The following is a 21,557-nucleotide window of genomic DNA, read 5'->3' as shown; positions in this document are numbered from 1 at the left end:
TAGTTTATATTTATCATTAGAGTAAAAGTAAACACTTCCAAAAATCACATTTAAATGTTTTTAAAATAGTTATGTAGCTTTTTTCTAATTGTTAAGTTTTTCTAAAGCCAGGTGAAAAATTCATTATACTTCTGTTTTCACAAATCTTGAAAAAAAATTATGTTATTCCAAATTGGCTGCAGCAGGAGAATTCTTTTTTAATGATTGATTTTAATGTTATTGGTTAGTTTCTTTTTAAAAAAATATTATTTCATGGTAATTGATGGCTCTCTAACACAATAACATGATATGCTTATAAGATTTGTATAGGCTTTGGGGAAAATTTCTCACAATGTATCTAGATGTATACAATTTCAACATTAATCTAGGATCAATATATGCATTCTTATTTTCTGCATTTTTCTCCAACTGGCAACAAAATTCACTATGTAAAACTCTCCCACCTCTAGTTCATTGTTTGGGTGTTTCTGTTAAAGTAAGTTATGTTTTTTCAATTGGAGCCAACATTGAGATTAATAGGATGCTTGTATATAGAACTGAGGCAGTGCTTTTTATTTTCAAGCAAATTATGGGGGGAAAATGTATCAATGCATAGATAAGATCTGTAAGCTAATCTAGCTACTACTCTGTAATGCAGAAGCAACAATAATAAACATGCATTGGTGAGCTAAAATTCAGGAAATGTTTCTTCACATCTTCACTCATGCCTATTATTGTTCTACCTAAAATATTTCTTTGTGATGCTTAAAATTCATTCATTTCTTTCCTATACTGGTATTATTTGGGTAATTTATTTGGGATAACAAATGATTCTTTTCAGTAATAAAATAAAACTTTCTAAAAGGTCTTACTTATTTGGAGTAAAGCCACATGCATTTCTGATATGTGCTACCTTGAGAAGGGTGGAGCTTCAGTCATAAGTGACAACACAAGGGGATGTAATAGGGAACAACAAAAGAAGGCAGAAAAAAAAAAAGACTCAATGTAAGGCCCTTTAAATGATTTCTTCAAATACAGATTTCTCTTATATGTTTAAAAAGTTAAAAAATTTATGTCCTCAAGAACTTTTAAGAATTCTGTAATTTTCCAAGAATATATTTTCCCCAAAGTTGAAAATATTATATACTAAATATTATAATAGAAACACACCAATTCAATTATCCTTCTATTCATAGGCTTGCCTGAGATTTATTCTGAATTATTACTTTAAAACAATTTCAGCAAGCCACTCTATAGAGACAATTTAGGGTGAACTTTTAGATTCCTTATTTGTCTTCTTCATGGTCTCTCTGCCAGAATAAGAGGTAAGATGCTTAATGTTACCTCATTCTTCCCATTAATCCAACGAGAAACCATTAGCTGAAAGATACCCTTTGACATGGAAACATTTAGTTATATACAAGCAGAAAGATGAACCCTCAAAAAGACATATGATTAATTCTCAAAAATTGTAGAGCCTAAAGTCATCTTAGGGTGGAAAGTTATTTGCCTAACTGAAAACTAATCCATGAAAGTTAATCCCCATCTCCAGTACTTTACAATATCGAACATAGTGGAGTCAGTTAGATCCCTATATTTAAACTAGCATATAATAAGGAATAAAAACAAATAGCCCATTATAAAATCTGCTGCCCCTTGACTGAGAGAATTTAAAATCATTGCTTTTTCTTTTATGTGGTAGCATTGATTATATTTTTTGGAATGACACTGTCTTGTAATCCTTATATGAGAATCAAGTTTAGGAGGAGAGATTTTTTTCTGGTTTCGTTTACTGTATGACATAACTATATTGGATTCTGACCAAAACAAAAATAACAATAACAACAATAATATATGTGTGTATCTACATCTATTTCCATGCAAACATTCGTGTACAACTTTTATCTCAGAGTTCAGTGTCCAGGATGGCACTCACTTGCTCACTTATCTGCTGTCTTTTTTCTTCTCTCCTCCTTTCTTTCTATAAACAACTTTATTTAAAACCATACCAGTAGAGTTTACACCAGTGAGTTCCAAGTGTAAGCCATCATATGACTCCTCTAGATTTTTTTTAAGTTTTGATTACTGGCACGCCTCCCAGGTTTTCTGATTCAGTTCCTCTACATGTGGGAATTTGGATTTTTATAAAGCTCTCCAGATTATCTGATGACCATCAATGTAGTAATTATGATTATATCCTTCTTTGGCTCTAGTGTTAAAATGAAGAAAGTTTATACATCAAAATATTTTACTGTAGTGCTTCCAAGGTAGCACACTGTTACTCTAAATAATAAAAATTGATCTCAATATTACTAGATAATTTTGAGTCATTAACTTTATACCAGATTGAAACTTTTTTTTTGTAAAACATTTTTGTTCATTTGTGTCATTTGTCAAAGGTGGATAAATAATTTTAATAACATCTGAGAAAATCCTATTTAGGCAAACAGAACATTTTCTAGCCATGAAAAAGCAATAATAATAATAGTAATAATAAATGAAATAAAAATTCCCGTGTGATTCTTACTTAAAGTGGAAAGGAAATTTCACTGCATCCATTCTGAATTGAACAAAACTGGTACAAAATGATCATTTAGGAATGTATCTTTTCTTTTCAATTTGCTTACTTAATGGGTATTTTAACCTGTTCACTATGACCAACCTTGGCTGATTATGTGTTTTTATAATGGTGATAGAACAAATATATACCCTTCTATCCATTAATGTATAGGAAACTCACACTTTAGATGCCTTCTGCTATTAATGTTTACATATAGGAATAGTAAGTGGGTTAAGTGACAATTTTCTTGTGTGCTACTTACTTATTTTTGGAAAATTTTAATGACACACCACAGGTAGGTTTGGATTTCACTTGACACTGCAGCTTTAAGGAATATAAAAAGATATATGAACTATATTTTGTTTATAAAAAATCCTTTAATGTTCACATTAAAAAAAACTTTGAAACATATATGCCTTAAAGTACATTGACAGAACAGCACAACCAGTGCAAAATCTGCTCTGACCTGTGATAAGATCCAGTTTCTATCTAAATGATCTCTCAACTATTTCCACTTGAATGACTAATGTGTATTTCAAAGTTCACCAGTCCAAAACACACATCTCCTCTCTCCTCATTTTTCTCTATTTCAGTAGATAGAAACTAGTTACTCAAGGACGAAGTAGAGTTCATTCTTGCTTCCTTGTTTCTTTCACACTTTGTATATTATTCCTCAGCAAATTCTATGGTTCTTTTCTTCACACTTCCGGAACCAATCATTTCTCACCTTTGTAAATTACCTTGGTCTAAATTATTATCTCTTGCTTGGATAACTGACATTGTTTCTAACTGATCACCCTATTTCCACCATCTTAGATCATGTGAGCTGTTATAACAGAATAACATAGACCAGGTGGTTTATAAACGACATAAATTTATTTTTTGAAGTTCTGAAGGCTGGTAAGTTCAAGACTAAGGCACTAGCAGATTATGTCTGATGATGGCCACCTTCCTCAAAGAGTCATTTTCATATTGTGAACTCCATGGTGAAAGGGATGAATAAGTTTTTTGAGGTATCTTTTACAAGGGCACTTATTCCATTTACGAACTCTGCCCTCATGACCAGTTAGCCTCCCAAAGGCCTCACTTCCTAATACCATCACCTTGAGGGTTAGGATTTTAACATACAAATTTGGGGGGACACAAATATTGAGACCATAGCATACTCTATAGACTGTTTCCAAATCAACAACAAAAGTGACCCTTTTTCATGTTATGCTTTGGCTCTAAACCTTTTTTTGTTCCTCATCTCATTATAAGTAAAATCTAAAGCCCTAACCATGGCTTAGATAGCCCTATGATTTGGCGTAATTTTACTGTGCCTGACATTTTCTCCTGCCACTCTTCCTTTAGCTCACTCCACTCCAGGCATAATGGCCTCCCTGCAGTATCTCAAATATACCAAGCATGCTATATTAGGCCTCCCTCTTTTTTTTTTACATTGCTATAAAGAAATACCTGAAGCTGTATAATATATAAGGAAAAGAGGTTAAATGGGCTCACAGTTCTGCAGGCTCTACAAACATGGCACCAACATCAGCTGGACTTCTGGTGAGGACCTCAGGAAGCTCACAATTGTGGCAGAAGGTGAAGGGAGAAGCTGGTGTTTTACGTGGTGAGAAAGGGAGCAAGAGAGCAAAGGGACAACAGGTTCCACGCTTTTAATCCAGCAGATCTCACGTGAACTAACTGAGAGAGAATCACTTATATCAATGGGATGGTGCTAAACCATTCACGAAGGTTCTGCCCCCATGATGCCATCACATTCCACCAGGCCCCAATTCCAACAGTGGAATCACATTCCGACATGAGATTTGGAAGGCACAAACATTCAAACCATATCACATGCTCTAACACCAAGCCGTTTGCTCAGGCTATTTCTTCTGCTTACATATTCTTCCTCAGGATAACCACATGGCTGTGTCCCTCATTTCCTTCAGGTCTCTACTCAAATGTCATATGATCAGAGTCTTCAATGGGCCCTCCTATAAACTGGTAAACTCACCTCCATCATCTCTTTCCATTATTAATCTGATTTATTCTTCTTCATAGCACTGATCTACAACCTGAAATATTATGCATTCATAGTTAATTCCTTTAATTTTTGTCTTCTCCAATAGAACGCATGCTATAAGACAGCAGGAACTATTTAACTCCACTTTAACTCCAGCATCTAGGAACAATGCTTGTCGTATAGTAAATGCTCCATAAACATTCTTTTCTTCTAGAAAGGACAAATTTACTATATAATTTCAGCTACTTTCTATGTAAAGCAAGAGAAACATATTTCCTTTCTAATTAAGTTCAATTGTTATTGTTTCTAATCTAATAAAAGTGAATATATTTTTATAAAACATAGTTACTTTTAAATATTTCCCCCATTGCCATGTTATTTTGTCCAAATATAGCTAATAAAATTTAGGGTTATATTTGGTGATATATTATTAGATAAACATGCCCACTCAATCAACATTACACAAATTTATTCTAACCTTTGAAAACATATTGTGCTTTGGATTATTTTTCTACACACCTATTTTGTCATTAAGAATGGGCTTTAGGGACAGGTAAACCTAGGTTCAAATCTCAAACCTGTCACTTAATAGTCACACAATTATTGAAAAAATTACTCCAGATTTCTAAATCTCACCTTCCTCCCCTGAAACATTCTGATAATAATAAAAACTTAAATTCAGGATTGCTGTAATGACTAAATTAGATAATGTTTTTAAATTAAATGATGTTTATAAAGCACTCAGCACAATGCCTGCCCCTGCAAAAATATTCAGTGAATATTCATGTAATAGGAATACATTTCAGAGTCTGGATCAAAATTTGCAAGAAATGTAGCAAAAGATTTTTGTATAAATGACCTAATTTTTATTTTCAACAACCTTTTTGCTGGGCAGTGGGAAAATTAATCTAGGTCAATTCAGGATAAACTCAGTCAATTCTGTATTTGCCAATTCAACGTCTGCACATATTTTGGCATCAAGACTTCAAGTTGTCAAAAATAAAAAGTGCATTTTGTCCTAGGGCATTATCTGTTTGTGGCAACAGCTGCTGAGCTCTCTCATTTGCTACTTGGTCTGAAGTCAGCAGTACAATTGGGCATCCACTGCTGGATCCTAGTTATCCCAACTGCAAAACCTCTTTGCATCTACCAGCTCTCTGTAGTATATTCTGCTCTGCTCATAAGAAGCATTTTTCAATTACTCTGTATATGACACTGAGTTACACCAGAATTCCATGTGGCTGGCTCAGGATCAATTGCCTGACCAACCCCCAGTATCTTTTTTTTTTTTTTTCCTACCTCTTTTCTGCAAGCATGTTTGCCACCTTTCTGGGCTCCAGATAGAAAGCCAGGTACATGTTCCCTCTATTGTCTAATTATTGGCATTCTATTATTCCTCCTACAAAAAGGGTAAGATGCAAGGTCCTGTCTAAGAAACCTAAATCAGAACCTAACTAATTTGTTCTCCGCTTAACTCATCTAGGGAATGTTTCTCTAGTTTGTTTGGGGTCTGATTGTTTTATTTTTTTCAAAGTGGCATAGGATATTGCAGAAATACTGAACTTCTTCCCTCACCCTTACTTGTAAATATGTAATCTAATTAATTCTTTCAATTAACATTCATAAGAGGGGTTTATTATATGTAGGCTCTGTGCAATTAACATCAAATAGCTCCCATTGTCAGCCTGGTAGAATGAAAATTGAATACCAATGAGAAATACTATTTTCTGTTTTCATTGTTGCTGTGTTTGTTGTTATTTTCAAATAAAAACTAAGGACAATGTTCAGAATAAAGGAATGTAGCAGGGCATTCCTTTATTCTTTGGAAAAGAATTTATTCTATTCCAAAATTCAAGGCAATCTTTTTACCACGGTTACAATTGTGTAGTCTAAAGATTTATTTCTTATGCAAAATGTAGACTATGGATGATTATGGAGAAAAGCCAGTAAAGTAACGCAAAATTGCTTTTGAAACTGGGAAAGAAAAGGTTAGGAGGAATGATGTCACATTTATGAAAAATTAGATACTCAAAGGACTTGATTAATAACATTCTTGTAGAGACATGATAAAGTTATTAACCTGTTGTTTTCTAAAGTGTATTATTTTCAAGTTTCTTTCCTATCTATGTGTGAGTCTTTGGGAATAGCACTTATGACAGGCTATTGTTAAATTTTCAGTAATTTTGAGAGCTGATTGTTGAACATAGCCAGTGCCAAAAATTAAGTTATATTACAATTAGATTGTAATTAAACTACAATTAAATTAACTTAAATTATATTAAAAACAAGAGCAATACATATAATTTTTAAAATTTTCTAATTATTGGAATACTTTTACTATTATCTGTGCTTTTGAGGTTATTTATGTATATTGTATCCCTATGGTAGAAATACCATGCCACACTGTGGTCTCTAACCAACTCCACATTCAATGACATCACATTCACATTCAATGATAGCTTGATGTCAGCCAATGGGAGTATTTACACTGTAGAAATTGGCAAATGCTACAAAACATGGCTTAACTTGTTGTTTGCTTATTACATAGATTTAAGTGGAAATGGGTTGTGTCTGTGCCCATTACATTATGAGTAGCACTATATATTGAAGAAATATTTTTTTCAGTATTTGAAAACTATTATTTAATTAACCAAATTAGTTGCTCATATCATTTACAAACTAATGAAGTTCTGACATAATCCTGTTTTTGATTTTTCACTTTCCTTTTATTTGTTAACATTAAAGATGATCAAGCAGTATTTATTTAGGAAATACTCTTGTTTGTCAGTTGCAATCATAAATTGCATACACAAAAGTCTGGCAAAAACAATAAAAGCATTCTGTAAAAATCAATTAGTTATATGAAATGTATGGTCATGAATATTGTATATTTTATTACTATTTGTACATTGCTCGACACCTCCCTAAAATCAGGGATTGGAAAACAACAGTGTGTGAGCCAAATTAGGCCTGACACTTGTTTTTGTAAGTAAAATTTTATTGGGAGAAAGCCATGTCCATTCATTTGCATATTGTCTATGGCTGCTCCTGTGCCACAATGTCAGGACTGAGTAGTTGTGACAGAAATGGTATGCTTCTCAAAGCCTCAAATTTTATTATCTAACCCTTCTTAGAAAAAGTTTGTCAATATCTCTGTATTGCAATAAATGTTATTTTAAAAACCTTATGTACAAGTATACACATTTAGCAGTTTTTTGTTTGTTGTTTGTTTGAGAGTTGGTTGTTAAACATTTTCCAGCACACCGGTGATCTTATATGTCCAGCACACATATCTGCCAATTCTGCTTGCTGTTCATTGGAATTCTGTATTAACTCTCCCTTCAAAAGCACTCTCAAAGTGCCAATTTGTAGAGACTGCTATGTTAGGCCTCATAAAACCCTTCATCCTCTTCCATTAAGGATAAGGAAAATAAAATGATTTGTAATAAGCTGCAGAACTTTAATGTAGAGTTGGAAGTTCAACTCTATTATATAACAAAAAACCGAATGCCCCTGTAAAGTTGGTCCTTCGTTGTGCCCCTTCTCCTTCACTAAAACATACTAGCTCGTATAATTGAGAATACATTATGTAGCTGTTTTAGAAACCTAAATAATTGAATGCAAACAAAAGTTCTCTACTCTATTTTATATTATCTTTGGAGAGAATATTAAAAGTTTTAGAATAGAGACTTTTTTGATTGACCATTATAAAAATTGTTCTTTATTTTATATGCAAACTTGACATCTAATTCACCTTTTTAGAAAATGTATTTAATTTCCAAATCAACCTATAAAACAAATGACCAAAAGTAAAAATGCTAGGATCCAAGAGGAGGAATAAATTGGAGATTTATATGATTATACATATGTTCATGTGTAATTTCTGTCTTCACATTTTACTTTTATATTTACTTTTTGCTCTTGGATTGATGTTAACACCTTAATTGCTAATTCATTAGATAAATGAGTTAGAATATGCCTTCTATTTATATATTTATCATATCATTCACAACAGCAAGAGTTTTGAGTGTTGATAAGTAGTTTGTTGTAATACGGTTCAACCTACTGGATTCAGGAGAGTCTGTACACCATAACTAATTTCAGGCCTAGATTTATTACAAAAAGTTTTGGCAATTAAAACATGGCAATGTTAAGTTTTAGTTTGTTCTGGTGTAAGTAATCAGACAATTGCAACCTTTTAACAAATTAAAGTCTCAGCAAAGAATTTCATTAACATTATAAAAGCCATCAATAACTTTCATGATATTAATCCTTAAGTCAACTTAATAATAATAATACATATTAAACAAAAAGAAAGGGGATATTATGCTTAAATAAACAAAAACATACTTAAAGGTCTTGATTTTAATTAGAACAGAAATATGAGCACTAAGAGTCTCAAATAAAAGTCCTACGGCTCTAGTCAGACCCAATTTAATCACTCTGTACTGTTTATTTACTTTTGAACAAAAGGCATATTTTGTTTGTTTTGTTTTCTTATTTGTATGCTTGTATTCATGACCACTTTAAAAGTAATTTATCTTTGGTTACACTGCTTTCTCCCTTTGTTGCCTTTATGTTTTCATATATTTGACTAAATTTGAAGGATTTTATTTATGAGTTAAATAGCATTGACTTGATCATTACTATAAAAATCTTCTCTTTTTAAGGGCTTCCTAATTAATACTTGCCTTTCATGTTGATTAAGCAATTTTATGCATGCTTCCAAAATTTAACAGTTGAATGATCCAGTTTCATTTTATTTTGATGATTATAGTGGAGCTTCAGCAGTATTTGTTTTCTACCTTTTGACTCAACAGTGTTAAATAAATTGTAGTTAGCAGATTTTGTTACTGAATTATATTCACCCAGCTGTACTTAAAATAATTTTTCTTTCCTGAAAGTACTAGCTCTTTTATCATGCCCTTTCTTTAAATGATTATTTTTTTAATGTGTCTTATAAAAAGCTTCTTTCATATATATATATATATATATATGTATGCTGCCTGGTGCAGTGGCTCATGCCTGTAATCCCAGCACTTTGGGAGGCCAAGGTGTGGAGATAGTTTTAGTCCAGGAGTTCAAGGCCAGCCTGGGCAGCATGGCAAAACCCATTTGTATAAAAAATACAAAAATTAGCCAGGCTTGGTGGGGTGTGCCTGTAGTGCAAGCTACTTGGGAGTCTGAGATGGGAGGGTCACCTGAACTGGGGGATGTTGAGGCTGCAGTGAGTCATAATCACACCATTGCACTCCAGCATGGGCAACAGACACCCTGTCAAAAAAATGAATAAATAAAAAAGAAAACAAAAGGAAAAAAAATGTATGCTGTGTGCTTCTAATCTAATATACAGACAATTTTGTGTTAATTTGTTTTTGATCTTCAGGTTAAGAATGATGTCTTACTATGTTATTTTTTTAATTTTAGTTACAGCACCTAACAAAGGCTTAGAACTAAATAACTAAATGTTGACTTATTTTGTTAGTTTTTACATTGTTATATATAGGAAAAATTTATATGTATCAAGTAATAGTTTCTACTATCATTAATTTTTGCTTTTCATTACTCCTGAAGATTTTTTAAAAATTAGGAAAGACTTTTTAAAGAAATTAGAAACAAATTTCAACATCCAATTTTTATTTCCCCAGTTACATTAATTACTTGTTCCATTTATATTCTCCCTTTATTTGACTATTTTTGGCAAACTGAAAGTTCTTACAATGTATCCACACATAAATAGAGAAATAGTTTTATCCAAGAAACAATTGATTGTATTTTATTTATATTTATATTTTTCATAGCAATTAAATTATATGTTGGTGAGAAGTTAAGGGGAACACAAGGAAAATATTATTTGGGGATACCTTGATAATATTACCACAAATAAGATCCACTGGATCTAGTGGTTAAATGATTTGATTGTGAATGTGTAGCTCTAAACAAAGAATTTATTTACTATGTAATATAGAATCATAAAATGAATGTATTCAGAAGCATACTTTTGAGAATATTGAACATTTCAGACTCACAGACATACAAGTTATATTTTGCCACAAGCAAGGTTTTCTTACCTCTGCATTATCCCAATGACTACTATTCTTAAGAAATGAAAAGTTGAATGTTATGTAATCAAACAAAAATCATGCATGCCTGAGCTACCAACCTCAACATTTGGTTTGGTTTTGTTGAAGACAGATACATTCTTGCTGATAACTAAAACAGAAACTTATTTGCATGATAAATTAGATTCCTCCAGGGATTCAAGATATTCCCTTATAATATTAGGAAATTTGTGTATACAGCCCTCTAGTATCCAAATACTCTCAAGAGTGAATGTACATTTTTTAAAAACTTGACAGAGTGTATAAAAAGAGAGAGACCAAGTAATGTTTGCTGTTAGGAATTCAATGACCATGTCGCCTTGAACTTAAGATTCTCAATTCCTTACTTTCTCTTATTTCTACCTTCTCTCTCTGCTGTAAAGAACAAGTAAACAAACTGTAGAAGCCTAGAGGGTACACGTGAGTCTATAGATTCCATCAATTACAAATGGAGCGTGCAAGAAAGGCCTTGTCAGTGGAGACTTAGAATTTCTGTGTAGAAAATGTTTAGGTTAATGTGGTTAGAAGAGAACATTTAGGAGCCGTGGAAAAAAATTTGGCATAACCTTAACATTAAATTCTAATAAAGTTACTTTGAAAGAAAGGTTAATTATTCACAAGTTTTTATTTATAGATCATATTGAAACGTTCTAAATAAATCATCGGTTTAAAACCAACAATCTAGTATAAGAAAAAATATATTATTCAGATTAATATAATAATAATAAAACATTCCATTGTGTACCACCTAAAACATCATCTCTTAGGTGACATCAATGTAATTATGGAGGAACATTTATGCTATGGCAAGATCCCTAGATGTAGAATCCAACAACATAATTTTTACTCTAATACCAGGCCATGAGTAAGTAAGGCAATCTGAGCTAAGAGATCAGTAACTTCAAGCAGTATTCTCCAATTTTTCTTGTTGTTATTGTTCACCTAAGAAGCCCATGAAACTCCATGAAACAAAATAGTATGGAATAAAGTCTGTCAGGGAGAGTTGATCTTTGGGAAACCACAAATCATTGTGATACCTAAAATATTATTGCTCCCAAGAACCAATTTTTACACCTTTGGGGGTCATAATGATTATGTTGAGAATGCATGCCTTACAGGAAAAGGAATGGTAATATGCATTGTTGGTAAACCCTGGATTTAATTACTACACACTTTTTAGGAAACTATCTAGAAATATATGAACATGTCCCATATTTCATATCCCGTATTTCTAGATATCTCATATTTCTAGAACTTTTTTGCTGAAGTACAAGTACCAAAAAACATGAGGTTACACGTAAAAGAGTGTTTATATCAGCATTACTTGTAGTGGCAAAAACTTGAGTTCATTAATACGGGAACGGTAGAGCAAGTTATGATGGAGTCACCATACATCTCTCAAACAGAAGAATCTATATTACTGACCTGAAGAGATGTCTATAATGATAAAAGAAAAACAAATTAGAGTGCAATAAGCAGTTATACTTTCAGAAAAATGAGAATGATGTGTGGGAGCTTATCAGTTTCATTTTTGTGTATTTTTGCTTTATTAAATTAGTTTCTAAAAGCATTTAGACCTCCTTTAATTTAATATTTTAAAAATGTCAAATATGAAACAAGTTAAAGAGCATGGAAAAGTTACAATTGCACCAGACACAAATATATTTTATGTTAGTCATGTTGTTGGAAAAGTAAATGTTTGATCTTGAGAAAGTTGCAGAGAAACAGCCAAGTAACCAAGTAACCAACTTTAGAAACCAATCTTTAGGTAGGTATTCTTAATTTTAAATTGTCTCCCAGAAAAAGCATTTTTAAAATAATAAGAAAAGAAGCTATATCACCTGATTCAAGTATTACTTAAAGTACACTAAGCTTGGAATTTTAAAATTATACATGTGAATTCTAACTTCCTTAACCTTGTGTTCATAGAAACCAATATATTTAGTTGCCCTTTGGAAATGTACTGATCTGATTTAGAAAAAGTACACTTTTCTCTTTTTCATAGATACAAATACATGCTCTGAATTGATTATTATTGGCACATTTACATTTTAATTATAAATATATTTTGCAGATTTATGATGGAAAAGATAAAACGACTCATCTACTAGGTGCTTTTACTGGTGCATCTATGCGCGGACTGACACTTAGTAGTACTTCAAATCAACTCTGGCTAGAATTTAATTCCGATACTGAAGGGACAGATGAAGGCTTTCAACTTGTGTATACCAGTAAGTATTTTAGAAGAGTAAAATGGCCAAACACTGGGGTGCTGCATGTATATTAAATAATTACATTGCACAAATTGAAATGATATCCAATATTTGATTATTAATTTACAGCTCCTTTCTACATATATAATTTTATTTGACCCTAACAACAGCCCGGTAAGTTACAGGTATTTTAGCTATTGCCATTTTACAGTTGAAACGACTCAGTTTGTTTTACAGAGGTTAAGTAATTTTTGACTTCGGGTTTATTTACTTAGGTAGTTTTAAGTAGCAGGATTCTATTCATCCAGTATTTAAGAAATACAATGAAACTTTTGTTAGATGGAAATCCAATGTTTGAACTCTCATCTTGAACTGCAAAGATGCAATGATTATTATTGGTCAGTTATAAATGATAACTAAAAGACTTCAGGTTGTTTCACACTAAAGAGTAACTAAAGCTTTTAGTTTGTTCTGCTTTTGTGTTGACTTGTTTTATAACAAATACTTTCTCACAGTTCTATTATCTCATTATGTTAAAGTCAGCTATTTTGACTATTTAAATAAGTTGAAGTTCAAACACTAAGAACCAGGGGTAGGGTGGGTTTCATCAATTGTTATATGAATTAAATGGATGTGTTTTACTAGTACCGTTATATAAGAAACAGACTAGTTACACCAATGAAAAATAAATTCTATTCAAATAATATATTTCTTGATTTTCTACTCCGTTCAGGATTCTTTGCTAATAAATTAAAGTGCGAGTAAAACAGGTGTTACTTCCTATGTATTTGATAAATTTACAATCTGTCAGATCAAATTGATTCTTGGAAGGTCAGAGCACTCATTAATGTTGTATAGTAAAATAAGTAGCAATACTCAGAAATCTTTATTGCTAGAATGCTTGACAAAATTTACTGACTCCTATAAATTTTCTCAAGAAGTCAGATGAATGGAAATTATTATAGAAACTAAGAAGTTAAAAAGGTTACAGTATCAAAGATAATCATATAGGATCTTAAAGGGAATTTGAATCAAATTATAATTTGTGTAAAGAGTCTATCTTAATGGTATAAGAAATAGTAGACAAGAGAATACAATGACTCATTGTATGAAAACATTTTTGTCCATAATACTGAGATTATCTATTTATTTCAGTGCTTTTCTTTCTACCTGTTAAAATTTTTACATCACTAACATTAACTAAACATAAATTAACAAAATGAATGCTGAATACATATTTTTAAATTCTCAGAACTGTGTGTACAATGTGATTTCTTATGAGTCTTCCTAAGGAAAAATAATAGTCCAGACAAATTGTGTTTACAAGTATTGTTATGTGATGGACTAAAAGTAATGATATTGAGCAATATCAATATTGTAATGATATTGAGTAATGATATTGAGTAATGATATTGAGCAATATACTATTGCTCAAATATAATTGGTGTGATCTGCTCAGATGGGCAAACTTTTTTTTTTTTAAATATGCTGTCCTCTTTCTCTTTCTCTGTTTTCTAAAAGGGCCACTGATGATTTTGAAGTAATATTGAAATGCATGACACAATGTTTACGTAATGGTTTTTGTTCTGCATCATGTTGCATTTCTTTTATTTTCTTTCTTTCTTTCTTTCTTTTTTTTTTTTTTATTTGAGACAGAGTTTCAGTCTTGTTGCCCAGGCCGGAGTGCAATGGCGCGATCTTTGCTTACTGCAACCTCTCCCTCCCAGGTTCAAGCAATTCTCCTGCTTCAGCCTCCCTAGTAGCTGGGATTACAGGCACCCGCCACCATGCCTGGCTAATTTTTGTATTTTTAGTAGAGATGGTGTTTCACCATGTTGGCCAGTCTGGTGTTGAACTCCTGACCTCAGGCGATCCTCCCACCTAGGCCTCGCAAAGTGCTGGGATTACAGGCATTAGCCACCATGCCCAGCCTGCATTTCTGCTTGTCTGAAATATTTGTGGGTTTCACAGAAGAAACCTGGATTTTTTTGTTTTGATACATAATATCTATGTAACTTGAGGTTACTGATGCAAAATAGTAGCCATTGTAGGGCATACCTATATTTGAAATTTTATGGGGTGCTCAGGTGACTGGAATGAGTAAGATCATTGACTTTATTGTCATTAGTGTGAACTGTAGAATTTTTTTAAAAAGATATTTTAATTAGCAAATATTTGAAGTCACATTTCTTTTCTTAATTAACAATTAATTGGCTGGGCTTGGTGGCTCACGCCTGTAATCCCAGCACTTTGGGAGGCTGAGGCAGGCAGATCACCTGAGGTCGGGAGTCTGAGACCAGCCTGACCAACATGAAGAAACCCCGTCTCTACTAAAAATACAAAATTAGCTGGGCGTGGTGGCACATGCCTGTAATCCCAGCTACTAGGGAGGGTGAGGCAGGAGAACCGCTTGAACCTGGGAGGGAGAGGTTGCAGTGAGCCAAGATTGCGCCATTGCACTCCAGCCTAGGCAACAAGAGTGAAACTCCGTCTCAAAATAATAAATAAAATAAAATAAAAATTAATAATTGTCCATTAAAGGAAATGTATGTTTATGGAGACTGGAAACTACAGAAGTGGGAAGAGAGTATAAAGCTGTCATTCTTAAAAAGGGAAAACATACATTTATAAATATTTTTTAGTCTTAGAGATAAAACTAAAAATTTCCATATCATATCTGTAAACAAAATGTTTATAGCCTACTTCCAAGGTATCTTGGCATATCAGTAGACAATTTTGTGAACCAACAGCTGGGTTCTGAGCTGTATTCTCTCGGAAAGGGCTTTAGAAATAGTGATGCATCTGTTTTTAAGTGTATTTGTTCCTAAATATTACTTCTTATTTTTACAGTGGCAATTCTTCTGCATATCTGCAACTATCTAAATAGTTACCCACAGATTTCCTAGCTTTAAAAGAAGTTTGTTCCCATCCTCCAAGTATATACTATTTGTTTTCCAACCATAGCACCTGTGCCCAGGCTACTTTCTATTTTGTGCATGTCCTACTGACTTTGGATACCAATTAACCTTCAAGATCCATCTCAAATATTTATTCATGAATGCTTATCCTGATTCTATCAGCTGGAATTAACAGACGTTTCAATGTTTCTTTTGTGGTAGTTTATATATGCAACTAATATAACCGTTATCACATTGCATTGTGGTTATACTTGTTTGCGAACATATGTGCATCGTTCTTCAACACGCTATTTTCCTTCATAGCATCTTTAGTCCATTTAGTTCAATTGTATCTTTTTACATACTCTTGATGAATTAAGATGTCATCTGAATATGAATTTTATAAAATGCTTTCATGATAGTAAAACAGTTCTACTAAGCCACATATTTTAAATATTCACAAAATTCTTGGAAGCAGTAATTATTCAATTCCTGAACGTGATAGAATGTGCATCAGGATTTCGTGTTTAAATCCTCATATCCAGTTATTCCTAAGGCCAACTCTAACCCTGTCCATTCTGTGGTACATTTCCCTTACAATGATTCCAGTTTCATTTCTGAAATATCTAACAGAGAGAATCATAGGTATTGCAGAGGAGGTCACAGTACTCACATTGACAGAATCAGAACAGGAGCGAGAACATTTGTCTAGGGAGGATCAGGTAAGACTTCATAAAGGAGGGCGTATTAAAGGTCAGGTTGGTGGTTCACAGAAAAATAATTGTGGGAAGTATTACAGGCAAAGAGAAAGGAATGAGGAAAGACACAGAGATTAGGAAGAACATTCAAGGAAAATAATCTAATTCAGATTAATCCCACGTATCTTGATGCTTCTCACAATTTCTAGTGGGAGAACAAGCAGGCTGTTTTTGGCCATCCTATCAAATGATACCTGCCCTATTTAATGATAGTCACCCTGTATTCCATTATCTATTTTGTTGAGTTAGCAACACTTGCCATTGTCTGATTATTTTCAGTTTTGGGTAGATAAAACTGCATTTGGCTGAGATAAAATGAAAAAAGTATGTTAGAACAGACCTTTAAAGTGCGTTTTATTTCAATTATCTTATTGGTCCATTTATTATGTAATTGCTAAGTATAGTAAATGGCCTGGTAGACACAGTGACTTAAATGTTGCTTTTGGCTTTAACTAATGGAAAACCTTACCATGGCCTAAACAATCAGGGTTTATTTTGTTCATATAAGAAAAAGTGAAGAGTGAGAAAGTAGGTAGATCTTGATTCAACTACTTAACAAGATCAACAAGGATTTTGCTCCTGTCTTTCTGCTGTGGCATGCCTAGAGGGTTCACTTTTTATTTTCATGTTTGTGGTGACATGGTCACAAGTTGGCTACTGTAACTATGGGCATGTTTAAGGCATGAAGAAAGGAAAAAATGGGCAGTGCCAACCGCATATACTCCTTTTATCAGAAATACAAAATCTTTCCTGGGAATCCCTGTAAGATACCCTCTTATGTCTCTATCCTAAACTGGACCATATGGTTCTGCCTTAATTTTCCAGCAAAGCAGCCTGGAATATTCAGTATGTGGAAGACTAAATAATTGGTTTAACTTTAGACCATCATGATTCACTGCTGTATATCGTTAGATTATAGCTGGGAACAAAATCAGAGTTGTTAGCAAGGAAGAAGGGAGATATTGAGAAGACAACTTACAGTATTTACTACAATGTACAGCTGTCACGAATATTAAAAAAATTAGGTTAAAGATACTGAACTAATATCTGCTTCTATGATTAATGGTGTCATGGAAGCCCAGAAACTCTTGGGTGTTTATAAAGGAAAAGTATTTGGCTGACTCATGATTAATATTTTTAGCTCTACTATGCTAAGAAGACTGTGAGCTTCTCTCACCTTCTTCCACCAACAAATAAATTATATGCATACCTAGTATGAAAATACCATACCACACTAGACAGGGAGAAAATATCCCATTCCTTTTTCTTTTTCTTTTTTCTTTTCTTTTCTTTTTTTTTTTTCAGTGCCTTGCTCTGTCGCCCAGGCTGGAATCTCTGTCTTCTGGGTTCGAGCAATTCTCCTGCCTCAGCCTCTTAAGTAGCTAGGATTACAGGCGCCCACCACCATGCCTGGCTAATTTTTTTGTATTTTTAATAGAGACAGGGTTTTGCCATATTGGCCAGGCTGGTCTCGAACTCCTGACCTCCAATGATCCACCTGCCTTGGCCTCCCAAAATGCTGGGATTACAGGTGTGAGCCACCATGCCAGCCCCATTCCTTTTTCTAAAGCAAATTAAATCTGTTCAGTCTTCATCTTTAGCGTTGTCAAGAAAAATCTCATGTAGTCTTTTTGGGGAAATATTCTTCTCCCAAATAAATTTCTCAGTCAACTCTGGTTTGATCTGACAATTAAAGTGTGGACAGCTATACTGTTGAATATAAAACATGTGTGAGATACACTTAGATATTTATGACCTCTAGGGGATTTCACTGCTCTTCCATCCCTCAAACCTCCCAGAATCCAACTCCCTTATTGAGTCAGGCTAATCTTCCTCATTATTCTCAAAACAATTACTGTCATTTACTCTTGCTTTTGAGAAATCTGAAACTCATCCCAAATAAATATCCGAATGAGACATAATGTCAGGTACTTTACGCGACACAAGTTACTTGTTAATTTCCCTGTGAGGAGGAACCAATAAAGGCATACCTGTTCTTCTGAGAGAGAACAGGGAGTAGGGTAAGAGAAAATTACTACTTCCTTCTAGAGTTGGGAAACAGATCAGAAATTGAGATCACAATACAGTATCCTTCCTAAAACATCACTCTGTTCTCCATAATCCTATAGCAGAATTCAGCAAAACCCAGTAGGTTATTCTGCCCAGATCCCTTCAACCTCTCAACACACATTTCAAGAATGATTTCTAAATCTGGTGTATTTTACTCTCTCTCTAAAGGCTAAGTTATAGAGATATCATTTCTACTTGGTCACCTGGCATATCTTCCCTTTTACTCTTCTATTGAAATTTACTAATTTATTTATTATTGAAATTATTAATCTGGTCATAGGCTTAAATTTTGTCTTTTCCCAGTGGAATATTATATATTGAAAATATAGAGAACAATTAATAAGAGAAAGTTCCTGCCCATAACAAACTAACTTTTTAGTGGGGCAAGACATAAAAGAAAGTTATGAACAAAAGGTAAGAGAACTACATTTAGAAGTAATTTAAAACAGGGCAATGGGATAGATAGTACAGATGAGACCACTTTAGCTAATTTGTTCAGACTCCATCTTAAAGGAGATGTTATCTGAGTTGATACCTGAGTGATAAGAAAGAATAATCACATACAGGCAAAGGGTTCTAGGCAGAGGGAGTAGCAAGTGCGAAGGCCTAAAAGAAGTCTGAGCTTGAGTTATATGCCTGTAGCTAAATGAGCAAGGAGAATGAGACAAAATGAGTGATAAAGTTGGAAACTAGCAGTAGCAAATAACCGGGGTTCATCATCTCATGCCAAGGGAATCTAGGTCAAAGACACAAGAAGTGGGTTTAGGAGCAGAGGTTTAATAGCCAAAAGAAAGAGCAAAGAGAACAGCTCTCTTTCTTGTGAGAGAGAGGGGTTCCCAAATGGGACTTCCAGCCCATAGCAGAGTACACCAGATTTTATAGACAGGCTTATGAGGTGGTGTCTGATTTTCATAGGTCCAAAAGATTAGTTGAACCAGGTATGACATTTACATAACACACCAGAAGCTGGCTGCCCCACCCTAATCTTATTTTGCAAATGGGGTCTTTGCCTGGCCTGCACCATGTTGCCTTCTCCTTACTGTATGCATGGCTGGCAAAGAGAAGAGAAGAAGGAGCCACCATTTTGAACATGCCTAGTCCCAAATAGCCTTTTTCTATTGGCACAACTGCCAGCATTCACCCATGTAAGTGTCCAGCTTGCTTGTCTATGTTTGCAGCTTGATTTTATAAGCTGCTCTTTGTTAGAAAAGAAAATGATTTGGTGGCCGCTTTTCATTAAAAGGAAAAACTTACCAAGAATTCCCATACCCTCACTATCTGCCTAAATAATTTCTTAACTCCTATATCATTAGGGGCAAGGTGGAGTATAGTACGGGCTTGGATTTTATTTAAAAGGCACATAGAGACTTTGGTCATTATCATAATGTTCAATATAAGAATTACAAATAACAACAGCTAACATTTATCTACCACCTACCAGATGCAAGGCATAACCCAAAGAGGGAGATAATATTATTATTCCCAGGGAGAAAATGAGGAAATAAAAAGCATAGCAAAGTTACCTTACTCACCCAAGGTCACATAGCTAACAAGTGCAGACATGGAAATTGAACTGAGAGTCTTTGCCTCTAGAATCCATGTCTCTAACCACTATGCTATACTAGCTCTGAACTCAAGATTTGAGTTTTTCAAGTTTTATAGATTTGAAGTGTTATATATTTATATATATTTCAAGTTTTATAGATTTAATGTATTTTTAAAACTGTCCAGGTAAGAGTAAAAAAAAAAAAAAGAGAGAGAGAGAAATAATGTTAGTGCAATTCTTCCCAAAGAAACTTTTGTCATTTTATTTTTGAGAATCTGAATTTTTTTTTATTTTTGTTACATTTACTATCGGGGAAAGACTTATTCCTGCTATCATTCATATTGTTCATGAAATCTCTAAACTCTATTTGTTGAAGATTATTTAATTACAGATTCTTTTAGCCCTATATACTTGTAGTTATACTACTTTTATTTTGTAAAAAGGAATTGAGTATTTTTAACAGCCATCTATTACAGAGCCAAATTGCAACTTATTGATGGATTATACTATTGTCTTATCAAAAGCTGACCTGCTAAATATGCATGTTGCCCAGCCATTAGTCAGTACTCTGGGCTCAGATGTTTTCTTATTATCTCCTCTGCACATTTAATTTACAAAAAATCCCACTGGAGAAATGTTCATTATCCCAAGAGAAAACTGTAAATATATTTGGATGTTCTCAGCCTTCCAGTTTTGTTGCTTGAAATCATTTAATAATCTACATGGAGCATGGCCATTTCAAATTTTATATTCAAATTAAAGATGGGCATTAACTAATTTGTGATGCTTTTTCTTGCATACTAGCCTTGTGAATATACAATAAATTAGTCTTTAATTTAGTTACCGGTTTGTTGTTGGCAATGTAAATCGTAAAAAATTATCAGATGACTTATTAACTCTACCTTTATTCTTACTATATAACTCATTTAATGCAAATGCAAGTAGAAAATAAGTAAATTACAAGGGAGCAACAAAGCCCCTCCATGTGGTTCTATGTCCTACAAACCAGTTAGCAGATACATTTGACATTTCTTACATTTTTAAAATATCAAAATAAACTGGGTGATAAGGGAGGTATTGATCAATGCTGCGTGATATAGTCCAAAGTATTCTAACTGAAATACTAAAGAAAAATTTCTTAATTAACTGTCATTTACATAGACAATATTAAATTTCTTCATACTAGAATAATAAAAGTATCATTATTTTCATAGCCTTCACATCATAGAAGTTTAGTAAATTTAAACTTACATATCTAAGGACCTGCTAATTTACATGTTACATACAATTAATTTCTGGCAAGTTGAAGACCTAAATGTAAATATCAAAACTTTAAAATGTTTAGAAAATAAAAGTGTGGCTTAGAAAAGCTGTGTCTTTAAGGTAGAAGAAGATTTCTGAAATAAGATACACAAGCAA

At 33.2% G+C, this 21,557-nt stretch overlaps 1 protein-coding gene across 9 annotated transcripts in view; it reads left to right on the top strand.

Moving 5' to 3' along the window:
• CSMD3 (CUB and Sushi multiple domains 3) overlaps positions 1–21,557 on the top strand; it is a 1,214,012-nt gene that overhangs the window by 850,554 nt on the left and 341,901 nt on the right. For all 9 annotated transcript variants that reach the window (NM_001363185.1, XM_017013010.2, NM_052900.3 and 6 more), the window contains one exon: positions 12,729–12,885. In NM_001363185.1, the coding sequence (NP_001350114.1) occupies positions 12,729–12,885 (157 nt within the window). The remainder of the gene's footprint in view (positions 1–12,728; positions 12,886–21,557) is intronic.

This window comes from Homo sapiens, chromosome 8, assembly GCF_000001405.40.
Source record: "Homo sapiens chromosome 8, GRCh38.p14 Primary Assembly".
Taxonomy (NCBI): Eukaryota; Metazoa; Chordata; class Mammalia; order Primates; family Hominidae; genus Homo; species Homo sapiens.
The sequence above is the reverse complement of the archived record's forward strand: the minus strand, read 5'-3'. Positions and strand labels throughout refer to the sequence as shown.